This window comes from Homo sapiens, chromosome 13 (assembly GCF_000001405.40).
Source record: "Homo sapiens chromosome 13, GRCh38.p14 Primary Assembly".
NCBI classification, from domain to species: domain Eukaryota; kingdom Metazoa; phylum Chordata; class Mammalia; order Primates; family Hominidae; genus Homo; species Homo sapiens.
In genome coordinates this window covers 51,898,512-51,914,118 of record NC_000013.11, presented here as the reverse complement: position 1 = coordinate 51,914,118, position 15,607 = coordinate 51,898,512, and the positions used below count along the sequence as shown (strand labels likewise).

The 15,607-nt window shown below is 44.2% G+C and overlaps 1 protein-coding gene and 1 pseudogene across 3 annotated transcripts in view; both read left to right on the top strand.

Moving 5' to 3' along the window:
* The window catches only part of TMEM272 (transmembrane protein 272), a 121,020-nt gene that overhangs the window by 20,248 nt on the left and 85,165 nt on the right, over window positions 1–15,607 (top strand). Inside the window, exon 1 of one of the 3 annotated variants that reach the window (XM_047430279.1) lies at window positions 23–87. The exons of the other annotated variants lie outside the window; for them this stretch is intronic. The gene's annotated coding sequence lies outside the window, so the exon portion shown is untranslated. Of the gene's footprint in view, window positions 1–22; window positions 88–15,607 lie in introns of those variants that run through there. 3 annotated transcript variants of the gene reach the window in all.
* CTAGE3P (CTAGE family member 3, pseudogene) lies at window positions 3,423–6,299 on the top strand (annotated as a pseudogene).

Below are 15,607 nucleotides of genomic sequence, written 5' to 3'. Positions count from 1 at the left end.
TTTTTTCTCAATGTGTGTGAAGAAGAAACTGTGTTAGAATAGAAGGACATCTGCAAACATCTCACACCTGCAGAGGGCTGAACAGAGGTAAGGGCTTGATGGCAGCTAATTGTTCCCTGACAGATGTCAGCTTTGCCTGTCTGTCTCTCTTAACATGTTTGCAGCTGTGCAGCAGGCTGACAGCCTCTGGCATTCTCTTTCTGCCGGGTCCTCCCAAATGCACCCAAAATCCCAGCCATGCTGCTTGATCACCACAGGTCTGCCTGATGACAACAGGCTGTGGTGATTTTATTTGTCATCTTTAGAGCATGTGTAGCAGTATTTCTTTCCCAGAGGCATCAGATGTTTGTACTGCAGACATCTTTTCCAGGAGAAAAGGCTAATAGATGAGGGCAGGCTGTATTTCCTGGCTGGCCCAATCCTCTGGAGACTTCCTGGTCATTAGCATCCCCCAGAAGGACATGCACCATAATGGCTGCAGACTCTAGGTGGTGCTGCCCCAAGCCCTGTAGCCTAGAGCGTCCGACATCAGTTGCAGCCTGGCCTGGGTTTGGGTTATTTTAAGCTGCCCCTGCAATGCAGCTGCAAATCCAGAAAAAGAGGACTGAGGGGCCTGCTCATCAGGGAAGAGCTCAGTAAGCACACGTTGTCACTGGCTTAGAGAGCAGGGAGACAATATAATTACAGTCATTCCAAGAGGTTCATTCTGCTGCATTGCCCTTTTCAGGAACACCCCTCCCATTTCTTTGGCGCCAATACTATTTTTTAAAAACCTTCCTGGTAAATTTCAAAATGCCACTGGTAAAAGCAAACTGCCTCACTTAGCTCCTTGGTTATTTGTTTAAAATTCAGTGTATCTCAGTAGAATTTTTTTATGCAAGGGATTGAAGCTCCTGACCCTGCCATTTGGGGGAAAGGGATGTCTAAGAGTAGGGGGAGGAGCTTTCACCTTCAACCCGAGGTCCTCAACTGCATTCCACACGAAGCGTTAGCTTTAGGATAACATGAGCACAGACTGAACCCTGAGAATGCAGTTTGCCCACTCATCTATTAATTTGGTGTGTGAATTAACAGGCTTTGCCCAGAAAGAGGAAGTGGTGAAGCTGTGAAATTGCTTTCCTTGGAAAGCTTTGTTCAGTGGACACCTGTTAGTCCTGAATGGCAGGCAGAATCCTGGGTTCACAAGTGTTAATTTTCTAACTCTGAAGCTCCTTCTATTGTCATTTCCATCCGTCTAACTTTTCAGATTCCTAAGTATTTTTTCTGCTTCATTCGTGTATGTATTCATTCATCCATTCAGTGAGCGTGCATTAAATGTGAACTGTGTGCCAGGACTGCACTGGACATGGGGGCCACTGTCGCTGCCCTTGAGCTTCCAAAGCCGTGATGGGTGGATGAGCAGGGGTCAGTAGGCAGACACCGAGGTCAGTGCCACTGGTAGCCCACATGTCTGGGGCATGTGGAGCTGTGGAGCATCACTTACTGGGTCTAGGGGCTGGCGAGGCTTCCTGGAGTGGTCCTAGAGAAACAAATTGGCAATAATTAGGGAGGAAGTTTAGTGAAAGAAAGAGAAAGGCGTTTAGAGGGAAATTTGGAAAGTGTGGCCAAGGGGTGTACCACATAAACCCTCTCTCCAGTCCCCCACAGCTTTTAGTAAGAGATCAGTTTCCCGAGAATGTACTGTGGGCTGGGAGCTCTGTGGAGGATGTGCCAGGCATGGCTCGGTGCTCCTGAGGCTGCTGCCCCCACGTGATACGGAGAAGGCTGTTTGCAGAACAGCCACTGGTAGCAGCACAAAGAACAAGCGTGAATGGGAAACAGGTCTCAAGAGCTCTGCCTCCCTCTCGTGTCCATTCACTTCTTAATAATTACCGAATACCTGCTGCACACACTGTGCTCGGGACTGGAAAAACAGGGAAAACCACCGCATCTTGGCCCTTTTGGACCTTTACATAATGATCAGCAAATAGATGAATCTGTGGTTTGTCAGACCATGATGGAGGAAGACAGCTATGGAGAAAGACGAAGGAAGGAAGTGAGATAGAGCCTGCAAGGCTAGGGTGAGGGTGGGAGGTGCCACACTGACAGGTGACATTCAAACAGATCCTTGAGGGAGTGGCCATGTGGGTGCCCGAAGTAAGGGTGGTCCAGGCAGAGGAAAGAAGCGGGAAAGCCCTGAGGCAGCAGTGGGCTTGTTGTGTTCAGGGAAAGGCAAGGAGGGGAAGGCAGAAGCAGAGCAGTGGGAGGGAGTGGGTCGGAGAGGAGGAGATGGAGCTGGGCAGTGCATGGAGGGCCGGGAGGCTCTGTCTCGGGCAAGTTTAGAAGCCAATGGAGGCTGTGGGCAAGGGAGTGGCAGATGTGACCTCTGTTTCAATGTGAACACCCACTGTCAGGTCAGCGTGGGCCCACGCTTAGAGCAGCCAACTGGTGCCTAGCAAAAACAAACAAAAAGCAAAAAACCCAGAGTCTCCAGAAACCAATTAAGCAAAAATATTTATAGAACATCTAGTACGTGAAGGACATTTTGCTAGGTAGTTGGTTCCTCTCCTGAAGGAGCAAGCTTTCCGGATGAGTTGAAGATATGTGCATGCGCGGGAGGTGATGGCTCATTGCAGGGCAGGGCATCATCTGTGTTGAAGGATTGCCAGTGTTTCAGAAATGGACACAGAGCAGGTATGTTTGATGGACAGTTAAGAGGAACACTCTCTATGTGACAGCACTGTTTTAAGTGCCCTGGATCTTCTGGGGATGAGACTAGTGTTTTTCAGTCGTGCATGGGACAGTTGAGGATCATGCTAGGCAGAGGTGAGCCCTTTCCTGGAAGGAGTTAACCTAAAAAGCATAATCTGCCTCATCTGGGAGGAGCTTAATAAATCTCTCTTCAATGACGTAATGGTCAATCAGAAAATTTATATTTTAGCTGTAAAATTACTTATCACAATTTACCATGGGGCATAATCTTAGTCAAGCACCCAAAGTAATGATTTCAGGCAACAGATACTGAAACACCAAAGTGATAAGGTGGCAGGTATTTCAGTTAGCTACTGCTGCATAATGAAAGACCCCAAAGCTTAGCGACTTAAAACAATGATTTGTTATTCCTTATCATTCTGTCAGCTGGGAGTTTCTTCTGCTGGCCTCACCTGGGCTCATGCACAAGACTGCATTTAGCTAGGGTGTCAGCTTGGGGATGGGCATAGCTGGGATGCTGGGTCACCTGAGTCTTTCTCTGCATGTGGTATTGTTTTAAAATACAGGTTTTAGCGCTGCCTCAGGATGTAGAGTGTAACAAGGGGGCTGGGGTGGGCAGCGTGGGCCTGTCAGGCCTGTGGGTGCTCGTGTCCTCCAGATTCCCCCGCAGCTGACTCCGCAGTGGTCCGCTCCGGTTGCCTGGCGCAGATTTGAGTTCCGAACAGAAGGCTGTGTATTCTCTGCCGCTTATTGTGGCCTCGACAGGCCATGGTTACTTTGGCCACTGCCAGAGCAGCCTTGGCACTATGGAGGAGCCTAGGGCTACCCCTCAGCTGTACTTGGGGCTGGTCCTGCAGTTGCTACCCAGGGTTATGGCAGCACTGCCTGAAGGTGTGAGACCAAATTCGAATCCTTATGGTTTTCCATGGGAATTGGTGATATGTGCAGCTGTCCTTGGATTTGTTGCTGTTCCCTTTTTTTTGTGGAGAAGTTTTAGATCGGTTAGGAGTCGGCTTTATGTGGGAAGAGAGAAAGAGCTTGCTATAGCGCTTTCTGGACTAATTGAAGAAAAATGTAGACTACTTGAAAAATTTAGCCTTGTTCAAAAAGAGTATGAAGGCTATGAAGTAGAGTCATCTTTAGAGGATGCCAGCTTTGAGAAGGAGGCAACAGAAGCACAAAGTCTGGAGGCAAACTGTGAAAAGCTGAACAGGTCCAATTCTGAACTGGAGCATGAAATACTCTGTCTAGAAAAGGGGATAAAAGAAGAGAAATCTAAACATTCTGAACAAGATGAGGTGATGGCAGATATTTCCAAAAAGATACAGTCTCTAGAAGATGAGTCAAAATCCCTCAAATCACTACTAACTGAAGCCAAAATGACCTTCAAGGGATTTCAAATGAATGAAGAAAAACTGGAGATAGGAATACAAGATGCTTCGAGTGAAAATTGTCAACTTCAGGAAAGCCAGAAACAGCTTTTGCAAGAAGCTGAAGTATGGAAAGAACAAGTGAGTGAACTTAATAAACAGAAAATAACATTTGAAGACTCCAAAGTACACGCAGAACAAGTTCTAAATGATAAAGAAAATCACATCGAGACTCTGACTGAACGCTTGCTAAAGATCAAAGATCAGGCTGCTGTGCTGGAAGAAGACATAACGGATGATGGTAACTTGGAATTAGAAATGAACAGTGAATTGAAAGATGGTGCTTACTTAGATAATCCTCCAAAAGGAGCTTTGAAGAAACTGATTCATGCTGCTAAGTTAAATGCTTCTTTAACAACCTTAGAAGGAGAAAGAAACCAATTTATATTCAGTTATCTGAAGTTGATAAAACCAAGGAAGAGCTTAGAGAGCATATTAAAAATCTTCAGACGGAACAAGCATCTTTGCAGTCGGAAAACACACATTTTGAAAGTGAGAATCAGAAACTTCAACAGAAAGTTAATGACTGAGTTATATCAAGAAAATGAAATGAAACTCTACAGGAAATTAATAGTAGAGGAAAATAACCGGTTAGAGAAAGAGAAACTTTCTAAAGTAGACGAAATGATCAGCCATGCCACTGAAGAGCTGGAGACCTGCAGAAAGCGAGCCAAAGATCTTGAAGAAGAACTTGAGAGAACTATTCTTTTTTATCAAGGGAAGATTATATACCATGAGAAAAAAGCACATGATAATTGTTTGGCAGCATGGACTGCTGAAAGAAACCTCAATGATTTAAGGAAAGAAAATGCTCACAAAAGACAAAAATTAGCTGAAACAGAGTTTAAAATTAAACTTTTAGAAAAAGATCCTTATGCACTTGATGTTCCAAATACAGCATTTGGCAGAGAGCATTCCTCATATGGTCCCTCACCATTGGGTCGGCCTTCATCTGAAACGAGAGCTTTTCTCTATCTTCCGACTTTGTTGGAGGGTCCACTGAGACTCTCACCTTTGCTTCCAGGGGGAGGAGGAAGAGACCCAAGAGGCCCAGGGAATCCTCTGGACCACCAGATTACCAAGGAAAGAGGAGAATCAAGCTGTGATAGGTTTACTGATCCTCACAAGGCTCCTTCTGACACTGGGCCCCTGTCACCTCCGTGGGAACAGGACCGTAGGATGATGTTTCCTCCACCAGGACAATCATATCCTGATTCAGCTCTTCCTCCACAAAGGCAAGACAGATTTTATTCTAATTCTGCTAGACGCTCTGGACTAGCAGAACTCAGAAGTTTTAATATACCTTCTTTGGATAAAATGGATGGGTCAATGCCTTCAGAAATGGAATCCAGTGGAAATGATACCAAAGATAATCTTGGTAATTTAAATGTGGCTGATTCATCTCTCCCTGCTGGAAATGAAGTGAGTGGCCCTGGCTTTGTTCCTCCACCTCTTGCTTCAATCAGAGGTCCATTGTTTCCAGTGGATACGAGGGGCCCGTTCATGAGAAGAGGACCTCCTTTCCCTCCACCTCCTCCAGGAACCATGTTTGGAGCTTCTCCAGATTATTTTCCACCAAGGGATGTCCCAGGTCCACCACGTGCTCCATTTGCAATGAGAAATGTCTGTCCACCGAGGGGTTTTCCTCCTTACCTTCCCCCAAGACCTGGATTTTGCCCCCACCCCCACCCCCACATTCTGAAGATAGAGTGAGTTCCCTTTAGGGTTGAGTCTGCCTTCAAATGAGCCTGCTGCTGAAGATCCAGAACCACGGCAAGAAACCTGATAATATTTTTGCTGTCTTCAAAAGTCATTTTGACTATTCTCATTTTCAGTTGAAGTAACTGCTGTTACTTCAGTGATTACACTTTTGCTCAAATTGAAACAATAGAATTATAATTCTCAGGATAGTATTTTGTAAATAAGGATGATTTAAATAGGAATCTTATGAGTAAATTATTTCCATTTTATTTTATTCTAGATAGTGTTAACTATTTTAATTTGATTAATCCACTATTATCTAAACAGTAGTGGGAGTTTTATATATGTAATCTTGCAGGTGGTGAGGTTTTAAATTCTAAAGTCTTTGTCCTTATTCCAAGAACTGTATTTACTGTGGTTGTAGACAAATGTGAAAGTAAATTTATGCTTAATTGAATAAATTATAGTTGATTTAAAAAATATATATAGGTTGCATTATTCTTCAGGTATGGAGAGATGAACAGATCAAGTGTCGATTACCACTGAAAAGATGGTTTGTTACTCACAGATCCCAACAGAAGGGAAAGTACTATGCCATGCAGCACCGAATAGGGAGGCAGTATGGTCAGCGAGAAGATAGGAGTGATGGAAAAACATGGGCAAGAGCCTTTACGGTGGTTTCCATGGGAAGGAATGAGTGAGGCAAGGTGAGCAGGGTTAAGGTTAGCTATTATAGTTTGAGTAGTTTCAGCAGGCTCTGGGTATAGGGGCTGTCCCTAGTTGTCTGGTACCTGGCCTTGGGGTGCTTAGGGCAGAGGAATAGTGGCCTAGAGTGTGTGAGTCCTGTGGAAGGCTGATGAAGTAGGCAGCTGGGGGCATGAGCTCTCGACTGGTTAGTTTGTGTGTGAAAAGCACGCTCAAGGGCAAGTTGTTTACTGTCTCTAGGAATTGGCTAACCCTGGGAGGGACAGACCTGCCAAGGTCAGCAAGGCCCTAGATGTTGAAGTGTCAGAATACATAAAAAGACATGGTTAATATGGTATCAGAGCCTCTGTCTTCATGTGGCCTCTCATGAAGGGCTCTAGAGTGAGCTCCCTTAGGGGATGTCAAAGGCCGTTCAAGACAGCAGAAGCCACAAGGCCACGTAAAGCCTCAGCTTGGAAGTTATGCAACATCACTTCTGCTGCATCCCATGGGTCAAAGCAAGTCACAGATGCACCCCAGATCCCTGCTCACGTTGGGAGGAGAGGAACATTAACCATGTGGGAGGGGAGGGTCATTGCAGTTGTTTTTGCAAACAACCTGCTACAGAAGATGTGGCTTCAGAGCACTGCAAAGGCGTTTCTGAACAGACCAGATCACATAGGAAGAGCAGAAAGAAGTGAGTTCCAGCTCATTCGTCTTTGCTAATGTGGAGTCAGGGTATAGCTTCCCTTTCACTGTTGGTCCCCAGCATCAAGGGTCAGTTGGATGTTTGTCCAGGAGCCTGCAGGGACTGTTTGTACTTCTAGAGGAGAGTTGGCATGGCTTTGGGTTGCTGTCTCTGAAACTGCCCTAGGGCCTGGGATCCCGGGGAGTGCCTGCCTGTGCTGGCAGGGAGCCCAGGCCTGTTTGCAAACTGTTTGAATGCCTCAGGGTCAGGGTCTCTCATGGACATATTATTTTCTTATCAGGAGTTAAAATAACTCTAGAACTTCTCCTGTAGAAATGCAGATGCTTTATTACAATGAAAGTACCATTTGTAAAGCATATGCAATTAGGCCAATAACAACCAACATTTACTCCCCACTTTAGGGCCCATGAAGCACTTTCTCATATGTTCTTCCTTGTTCTCACAGTCACCTGTGGTTAGGCCTCATTATCCTAGTTTTTCATATGAGAATACTGAAGCTCTAGGGGCTCCCTGTCTTGCTGGGGGCTCAAAATTGGCTTGGGGCCCTAGGAGTTGCCCTGGGCCCAAGGGTGGAGCTATGGGAGCCCTACAAAGCCTGCCCTGTTTCAGTGAATCCCTTCTCTCCCCCATAACTGCTCATTCTGTGTGGCTGCACTCAATAGATTATTTCACCCTTTGAATTAGATGCCTCAGGGAGTCCCCTTAGCGGGCTAAGTTAACCTTTGCAGGGGGTACTGACATGCCCAGGTACAGCCCAGCCCTGCATGCTGCTCTTTGCTCCAGGGACCCCAGCCTGGTCCACCATTTGCTAGGAGAAGATTTCAGTCCCTCCAGAACACACAGCCTGTAAGGAGCCACACTGGCTCCCAGAGCCCGAGCCCCAAGTCATCACTGGGTACAGTGCACGTTCCTCTGCTGTGCAGTGGTGGAGCTTCATCCTGGTGAGTCATTTGTTCTGCGTCTAGGTGTCTCAGTGAGACTCCTACCTGTCTGCTTCAGAGCCACAGGTGAAGCCTTCATTCTCAATCCGATTGAAGAAGAGAAGGCGGCATCACAGCTGAGTTGCTCTCCATCATAGAACCATGGGGCATTGTCCTCAGACACACGCTGACATTAACCGAGGCTAATGAGGCAGAGCCTCTCATAATAGCATTCTGTTTCTTTGGAAACCAAGGTGTAGTTTTTTAAGTGTCGCATGGCCCTTGATTACAATTTGCATTTCCTAGCACTTATTCTACCATTTTTACAGGGACCTGTGGCAGGCAGAGGGGCTCTGGGCAGCTTCCCTGCAGGATTCCACTTCCTGCTTGGGTCGACCGCGCCGCTGCGAGGGAGGGCTTGCCCCTTGCCTCCCTGCTCTCTGGGTGTTTCCTTTGTGAAGGGAGGGACCTGGCATGCTAGAAAGCATCTCAAAGCCCTGCTGAAGAGGAACTCCGGCTTCCCTTGGGTTGCTCTGAAGAAGGTGCTCTCCAAATGAGAGGGCCTCAGGAAGACAGTGGCATCTCCCTGACTGGGTGAGTCAGGTGCAGCTCTAGCCGAGGTGAGTGGGACCTGCCGTGTCCGAGGTGGTGACAGCAGGCACTGAGACTGCTCTGGAATCATGGCTCTCTGAGGTTGTTGCTCTGAAGTCCTGCCTCTGGGCCCTCGTCCAGTGTCGTGACAGCTCTTTTCTCTGGAAGAGGGAGGACAGTCTCTCTCCCTGCACGAACTGCCTTCAGCCTGACATTTCTTCTCCTGCTTAGGGCCGTTCTCTGTTGACTGCTTCGTGTTGTCTGCTGTTTCTCTTAGCTCAATGCTTCTCAACGAGGGTGCTTTTGACCTCCCCCAGGAGCATTTGGTAATGTCCACAGATATTTTACACAGTAACTACTGGAGGTGTGCTACTGGCGTCAAGTGGTTGGAGGGCAGGGATGCTGTTAAACACCCCACAGCACACAGAACAGACTCCCACAGCAATTATCTATTCCAAAATGTCAGTACTAATGAGGTTAAGAAACACTACTAATGATGATGTTCCCCTACCTGGTAAATAAAATTCAAGGTTTTCAGCCTCCACATCAGTACAGAATGAATGTTTCTTAATTGAAATGCTTGGAGCCAGAAGTGTTTTAGATTTAGGATTTTGGAATATTTGCATTATATTTGCTGGTTGAGCATTCCCAAACTGAAAATCTAAAATCTAAAATGCTCCAATGAGCATTTCCTTTGAGCATGACCTTTGAGCATCATATTGATACTCAAAAAGTTGCAGAATTTTGAGCATTTCAGATTTTTGGATTGCTCAACCTGTACTTTTCACAATATCTTGAAAACGGACCATGCTTATCTTTTCTCTTTTGATCTAGAGCCTCCTTCTTTTCCACGTCCATACCATGAATTCCTATTCAAGCCCAGAGAAAATTATTCATTACTACTATGCATTAGCTGCTGAAGGCCAGGTGATGTTTTCCCAGATCTGACTCATCATGATCATGATCATCAATTATCATTATCATCATCATCAACAACAATTACCTTAGGGTCATCATAAGAATTGCATATAAGCTAGCCACCAAGCAGTCATCAGTCATCTGCCTTTAGCCCAGTGCTACCTGAATTCAGTTTCTGTCATCATGTATTTCTTAATTTCAAAATAGGCAGCAGCACTAAATCTGGTCCATGGGCTCATTAACATCATCATCATCATCATCATTAATATTACCATCATTGTCATCATCACTGCAAAGCAGGCAACAAGCAGTCATTAAGCTCATGCTGATTCTGATGCTGATGGTGAATGAGAAGCAGCACTGCAGAAAACCACCTCATGCCTAGCATCCCAGGGCCACAGGTGCTGTGTGTTAGATTGAGTGTTCACTTGTCCAGTGTGAATGTATTTTTGTTAAGAGTTATTGGCCTTTGAGTTTCTGGTGACCAGATGCTTCTTTCTAAACACACACACACACACACACACACACACACGTGGAAGACTGTTGGAGAAACCCAAATGGTGTCATAGGAGGCAGGTGTGAGAAGACACTTTGGTTGCACAACCAGGTATGATTCTGCCAGAGCAGAAGACCCTATATGGTTCTCTTTTCTGCCCCAGCACTGCCTCATTATGGCTATGATAGGTTTATTGAAGCTAAAGTTTGGGCATTCTGGGGCAGCCTTTGCCCCACACCCACACGAGTCTTTTTCATTTTTCGGTTGCCACTGAAGTCTGGAAATAGCACTCTGCCTTTTCCTCTGGCCCCATAGAAACCGGGACTTCTGGGTGTTTAACTTAGCATCTGACTCCATTAGATGCTCAGGGTCTCCTGCACTTACACCTAGGGATAGGAAAAAGGGGTGTTCTGGGGAGAGTAGGGGGAGCAGTTTGCCCTCTATTTGGTGGCTTTCCTTGTACAGTGGAGAGAGCAGCCAGAACCTGAAGTGACAACTGAGACATCGTCATCTGACGTAGAGTCTCTCTTCCCTCCCTGACCTCGTTGGTGTGCCACCTCTCCCTCCCTCCCATTTCCAACAGCATGCTTAGGAATGAGTTATGAAGTGTCTTATTGGAAACCAAGACCTCAATGGCAATGAAGGGAAGACACTATAGTTAGTTATTATTGATCATCTCTACCTGCACTTTCTATATTTGCAAGCACTTTTTGGGACTTAGTGAGTAATAAATAAAGTGTCTCTAGATCACCTTGCTGCTTCCCACTGCTGCTGCCTCGTGCATCCAGTTCTAGTTGTGTACCTCCTGGATACACACACTAAGGAGGTGAGACCTTCAAAAGAAATGCAAAATATTTCCACAATTGTGTTTGTGTACAAACTGACCTGTCAAAACCAAAACTATATTTAGGTACTAGATTATAATCAACACCCCCAGTGGATGCTATTGGTGCCTTGCCCAGGGCCCCTTTACCAGGCGGATGCACTCATCTCCCAGCTTTGAGTATTGCTCACCGCAGCCACCTGCTTCCTGAAGAATTGCCCTTGCAGAGCAGAAGCCACCATGCTAGGAAGTTATCCACTCCCTCGGCATCACATAGCCAATAACCAATTGCTGTCAGGGCTGTGTTAGTTATCTGTTTCTCAAAATAAATTACTCCAAAACTTAGTGCCTTAAACGGACAATGAATATTTGTTATTTCACAGTCTGTGTGTGTCAGAGATTTGGGAGCAGCTTAGCAGAATGGTTCCCGTTTGGGTTTCTCAGGAGGTTGCCCACAGACTGTCCATCAGGGCTGCAAGTGACCTGCAGGCTTGACTGAGGCAGGTGGCCTTGCTTCTGGGGTGGCTCACTGGCCTGGCTGGCAAGGTGGGGCTGGTTGTTGGCAGAATGCTCAGTCCCTCTAACCATGGGACTCTCCCAAGTTCAGCTTCTAGAGTAGCTATGATAACATACTTTCTATAAAACCTATATTCTAAAATGTATTTAATAAAATAACTTTCCTCTAATTTTTAAATCTGCAACATTGCAGCAGTTCATTTTAGACATTGAGAGGCTGAACATTTTAGATTCTGGTTCTAAAGGCATGTGGGTGCCCTCAACATCAATAGCAGCAGCTAATAATTCCCAAAGCTTTTCCAGGCGCCAGGCCGTGAGAAGGGCAAAATGTGTTGTGATTCTGTTGAAGTAATGCCTACCACCCCTTCAGTCCCACACTGAAAATGTAACAAGGCAACTGGGAAACTGTCTTCAACATCAGTGCTTTTTTTCATTTTGCTTCTCTTGATTTTTACATCTTACAAAACTGAGAATCCACCTATATTTATTCTTTCATCCAATGCACGTTGGCTTCTGACCTCACCCCTGAAATGGCTTCTCCAGAGGTCTGCAGTAACCCCCCTGATACCACATCCCAAGTGATTCTTTTCAGTTTTTTTATTACATGACCTTTCCATGGAGCTTGACCCCAGTGGATAACTTCCCAAGCTCCTCCTCCTTGAAACTCTCCTCTCTTGGATTTTGAGCTTGGATGACAGAGTGAGAAAGGCCTGGCGTTTTTGCTCTGGACTGGGTAACCCAATGAAGCTATGTGGATTTTCTGCACAAATTTGGAATGTAAACACACCCAATGGGGCTTCTGCCCAGAGGATTGTAGCTAGGCTGGGCTGGAGGTAGGGAAAGCAGGGAGGAGGCTACGTGTTTGTGGGAGGAGGCTGATAAAGCCTGAACTCGGGGAGGCAGTGAGCCTTAGGAGAGCAGGTAGATTCTAGATACTTAGGAGAGCCACTGTCACAGAGCTTTGTAAAGGGACTTGGGATGGAGTGGGCACTGGGGGAGGGCAGAAAGGAAAATAGAGACACTGAAGATGTGTCCAGGCTTCTCCGGGGGTAGTTAGTAATGCCATTGACCCAAGTCAACTGATGTATTTCTGTGTTTTTGTTGGATTCTTCTTCATTTTTGACTTTCCTTGGCTATATGAATTTCCAGAAGTACCTGTTCCAGGGGCAACTGACAACTGAGAGGGGTGTGAGGCATGGGAGGGCGGGTGGGGCACAGGCAGCTCCACCGGGCGCCACCCCTCTAGCAGGAGTGGTTTCTTTATATGTACCAGGGATATTTCTGCATTGAACTCTAGACCATGTGGAACTTGGCTTTTTAGCAGGTCAAATGCCAGGCACAACTTTCTAGCTGGACCAGATGCAGCCACACTCAGGAACCGTGCTTCATTAAAGTGTGTGTGGACCCAGGTTCTCTTCCTTCACAATTTTGTGAGTACAGATGAGGTTGTGTGGACATTAACATCACAAATATGAGAAGGCTGGGCCTCACTTGAAAAAAAAAGAAAAGTTTTATTGAGATATAATTCACGTCATAGATGTCACCCCTCTAAAGTTTATAATTCAGTGGTTTTTGGTATATTCATAGAATTGTGCAACCATCACCACTTTAACATTTTAGAACATTTTCACCACCCTTCTCTCCCACAAAACTCTGTACTCATTAGGAGTCATGCCTTTCTCTTTCCTGGCAACCTTGTATCTACTTTTTGTCTCTACAGAATTGTCTATTCTGAGCATTTCCTATAAATGGAACCATAAAACGTGTGGCTTTTTGTGTCTGGCTTCTTATACTTAGCATAATGATTTAAAAGTTCACCTGTGTTGTAGCATGTATCAGTAATACATCATTCATTTTTATTGCTGGATAATAATCCATTTTATGGATATATCACATTTTGTTTGTCCACTCATTCGTTGATGGATACTTGGGTTGTTTCCATTTTTTTTTGGCTACTATGAATAATGCTGACATGAACATTTGCATACAAGTCTTTGTGTGGACTTATATTTCATTTCTCTTGGAGAGACACCTGGGAGTGGAATTGCTAGGCTATTATGGTAACTGTATCTTTACATTAACATTGAAGAACTGACACATGGGCTGCATCTTTTTTCTGATCCCATCAATGATGCATGAGAGTTCCAATTTCTCCACATCTTCACCAACACTGTTATTGTCTGTCTTTTTTATTTCAGTGCATATGAAGTGGTATGTCATTGTGGTTTTGATTTGTATTTCCTTGATGATTAGTGTTGAGCATCTTTCCATGGTCATTTGTATATCCTCTTTGGAGAAATGTCTATTTAACTCATTTGCTTATTTTTAAATTGGGTTGTCCTTTTTTTGTTGATTTGTAAGAGTTAATTTATTCTGGACTCCAGTCCCTTATCAGATCTGTGACTTGCAAGTATCTTCTCCCATTTTGTGGCTGTCTTTTCACTTTCTTGATTATGTGCTTTAAACCACAAAAGATTTTTATTTTGAAGAAGTCCGATTTACATTTTTTTTCTTTTTTTGCCTGTGATTTCAGTGTCTAAGAAACCATTGCCTAATTCAAGGTATAAAGATTTATTCCCAGGTTTTCTCCTAAGAGTTCCATAGTTTTAACTCTTGCATGTAAGACTATGACCCATATTGAGTTAATTTTTGTATGTGGTTTGTAATAGGAGTCCAACTTCATTCTTTTATAGGTGAATATCCAGTTGTCCCAGCACCACTTATTGAAAAGACTGTTCATCTCCCATATGATTGCCTAGGCTTGTCTAAATCAATTGTCCATAAAAGTAAAGATTTATTTCTATTCATAATTTAATAAAAATGTAGTTCTATTCCATTAAGCTACATGTCTAGCCTTTTCTAGTGCCATGCGGTCTTAATTACTATAGCTTTGCATTAAGATCTGAAATAGAGAAACTTGAGTCCCCCAGTTTTGTTGTAAGATTGTTTCGGCTATTCTGGATCCCTTGCATTTTTATATTAACTTTAGGGTCAGTTTGTCAATTTCTACATAGAAGCCAGATGACATTTTTGAGAGGATAGTGTTGAATCTGTTCATCAATTTGGGAAATATTGCCGTCTTAATACTTAAGTCTTCTGATTCATGAACATGGCATGTCTTTCCACTTATTTAGGCCTTCTTTAATTTCTTTCATGATATCTTACAATTTTTAGTGTATAAGACTTGCATTTTCTTTGCAAGTGCCAAATGTTGCTGATTAGAAGTACACTGGAAAAACCTTTCAGTCGCTATACCCTTTTCTGGCTTTTATTACTGTTTTTAATTGACACATAATAACTGTATATATTTATGGGATACAGTGTGATTATGAAGCCTTGCACCTATGTTGTTTATCTCAAGTATTTTTTCTTCTAGATGCTATTGTAAATTGTTTCCTTGATTTCATCTTCAGATTATTCATCGCTAGTATATAGAAATACAATCGATTTTTTATATATTGACCTCATATCCTGCAACTTTACTGTACTTGTTCATTGGTTCTGAAAGCGTGTTTTGTGGATTTTCCAGATAAGAGATCATATCATCTGTGAATAGAGATAGTTTCATTTACTTACCATTATTCTTACTAAATGAATTAATAAGTAAGAGCTGTGGGAGTAAGACATGCAGTCTAGACAGTCTCTAGAAGGTGGCCTTGACAAGGCCAGCAGTGATCAGCAGTGGATGAGAACAGGTTTAGTACTGTGAGATTGGAGCAGGGATTGAGGCAGAGAAAGTGAGGAGGAATGACAGGCAGGTACAAGGTAGAATCAAGTGAGTGGTAGATCAGGAAATCCTAGATAACAGGTTGCCGGTGGCACAGTCATTTTTATTACCTTTTTAGCATGCTGGGTGCCTCTCCTGGAACACATTTAAAGGACCCAAAGGACTCCTTCCAACAGTGCCGTCTTAGCAGGAAAAAGATATAAGTCTAAGCCATTCTTGTTGGCTTTGTGCAGCCAGGATAGGCTGTGAAGTAGGCAAAGGGCAGAAGAGGAGAGAGAACTAACATTTATTATCTAGTATGTGCCAACATTTTGCATATATTGTTTAGTTTAACCCTTACATTACTCCTACTTTTGCAAATGTGAATCTGATGTTTGTTTTGTAAAACATTCAGAAAATGC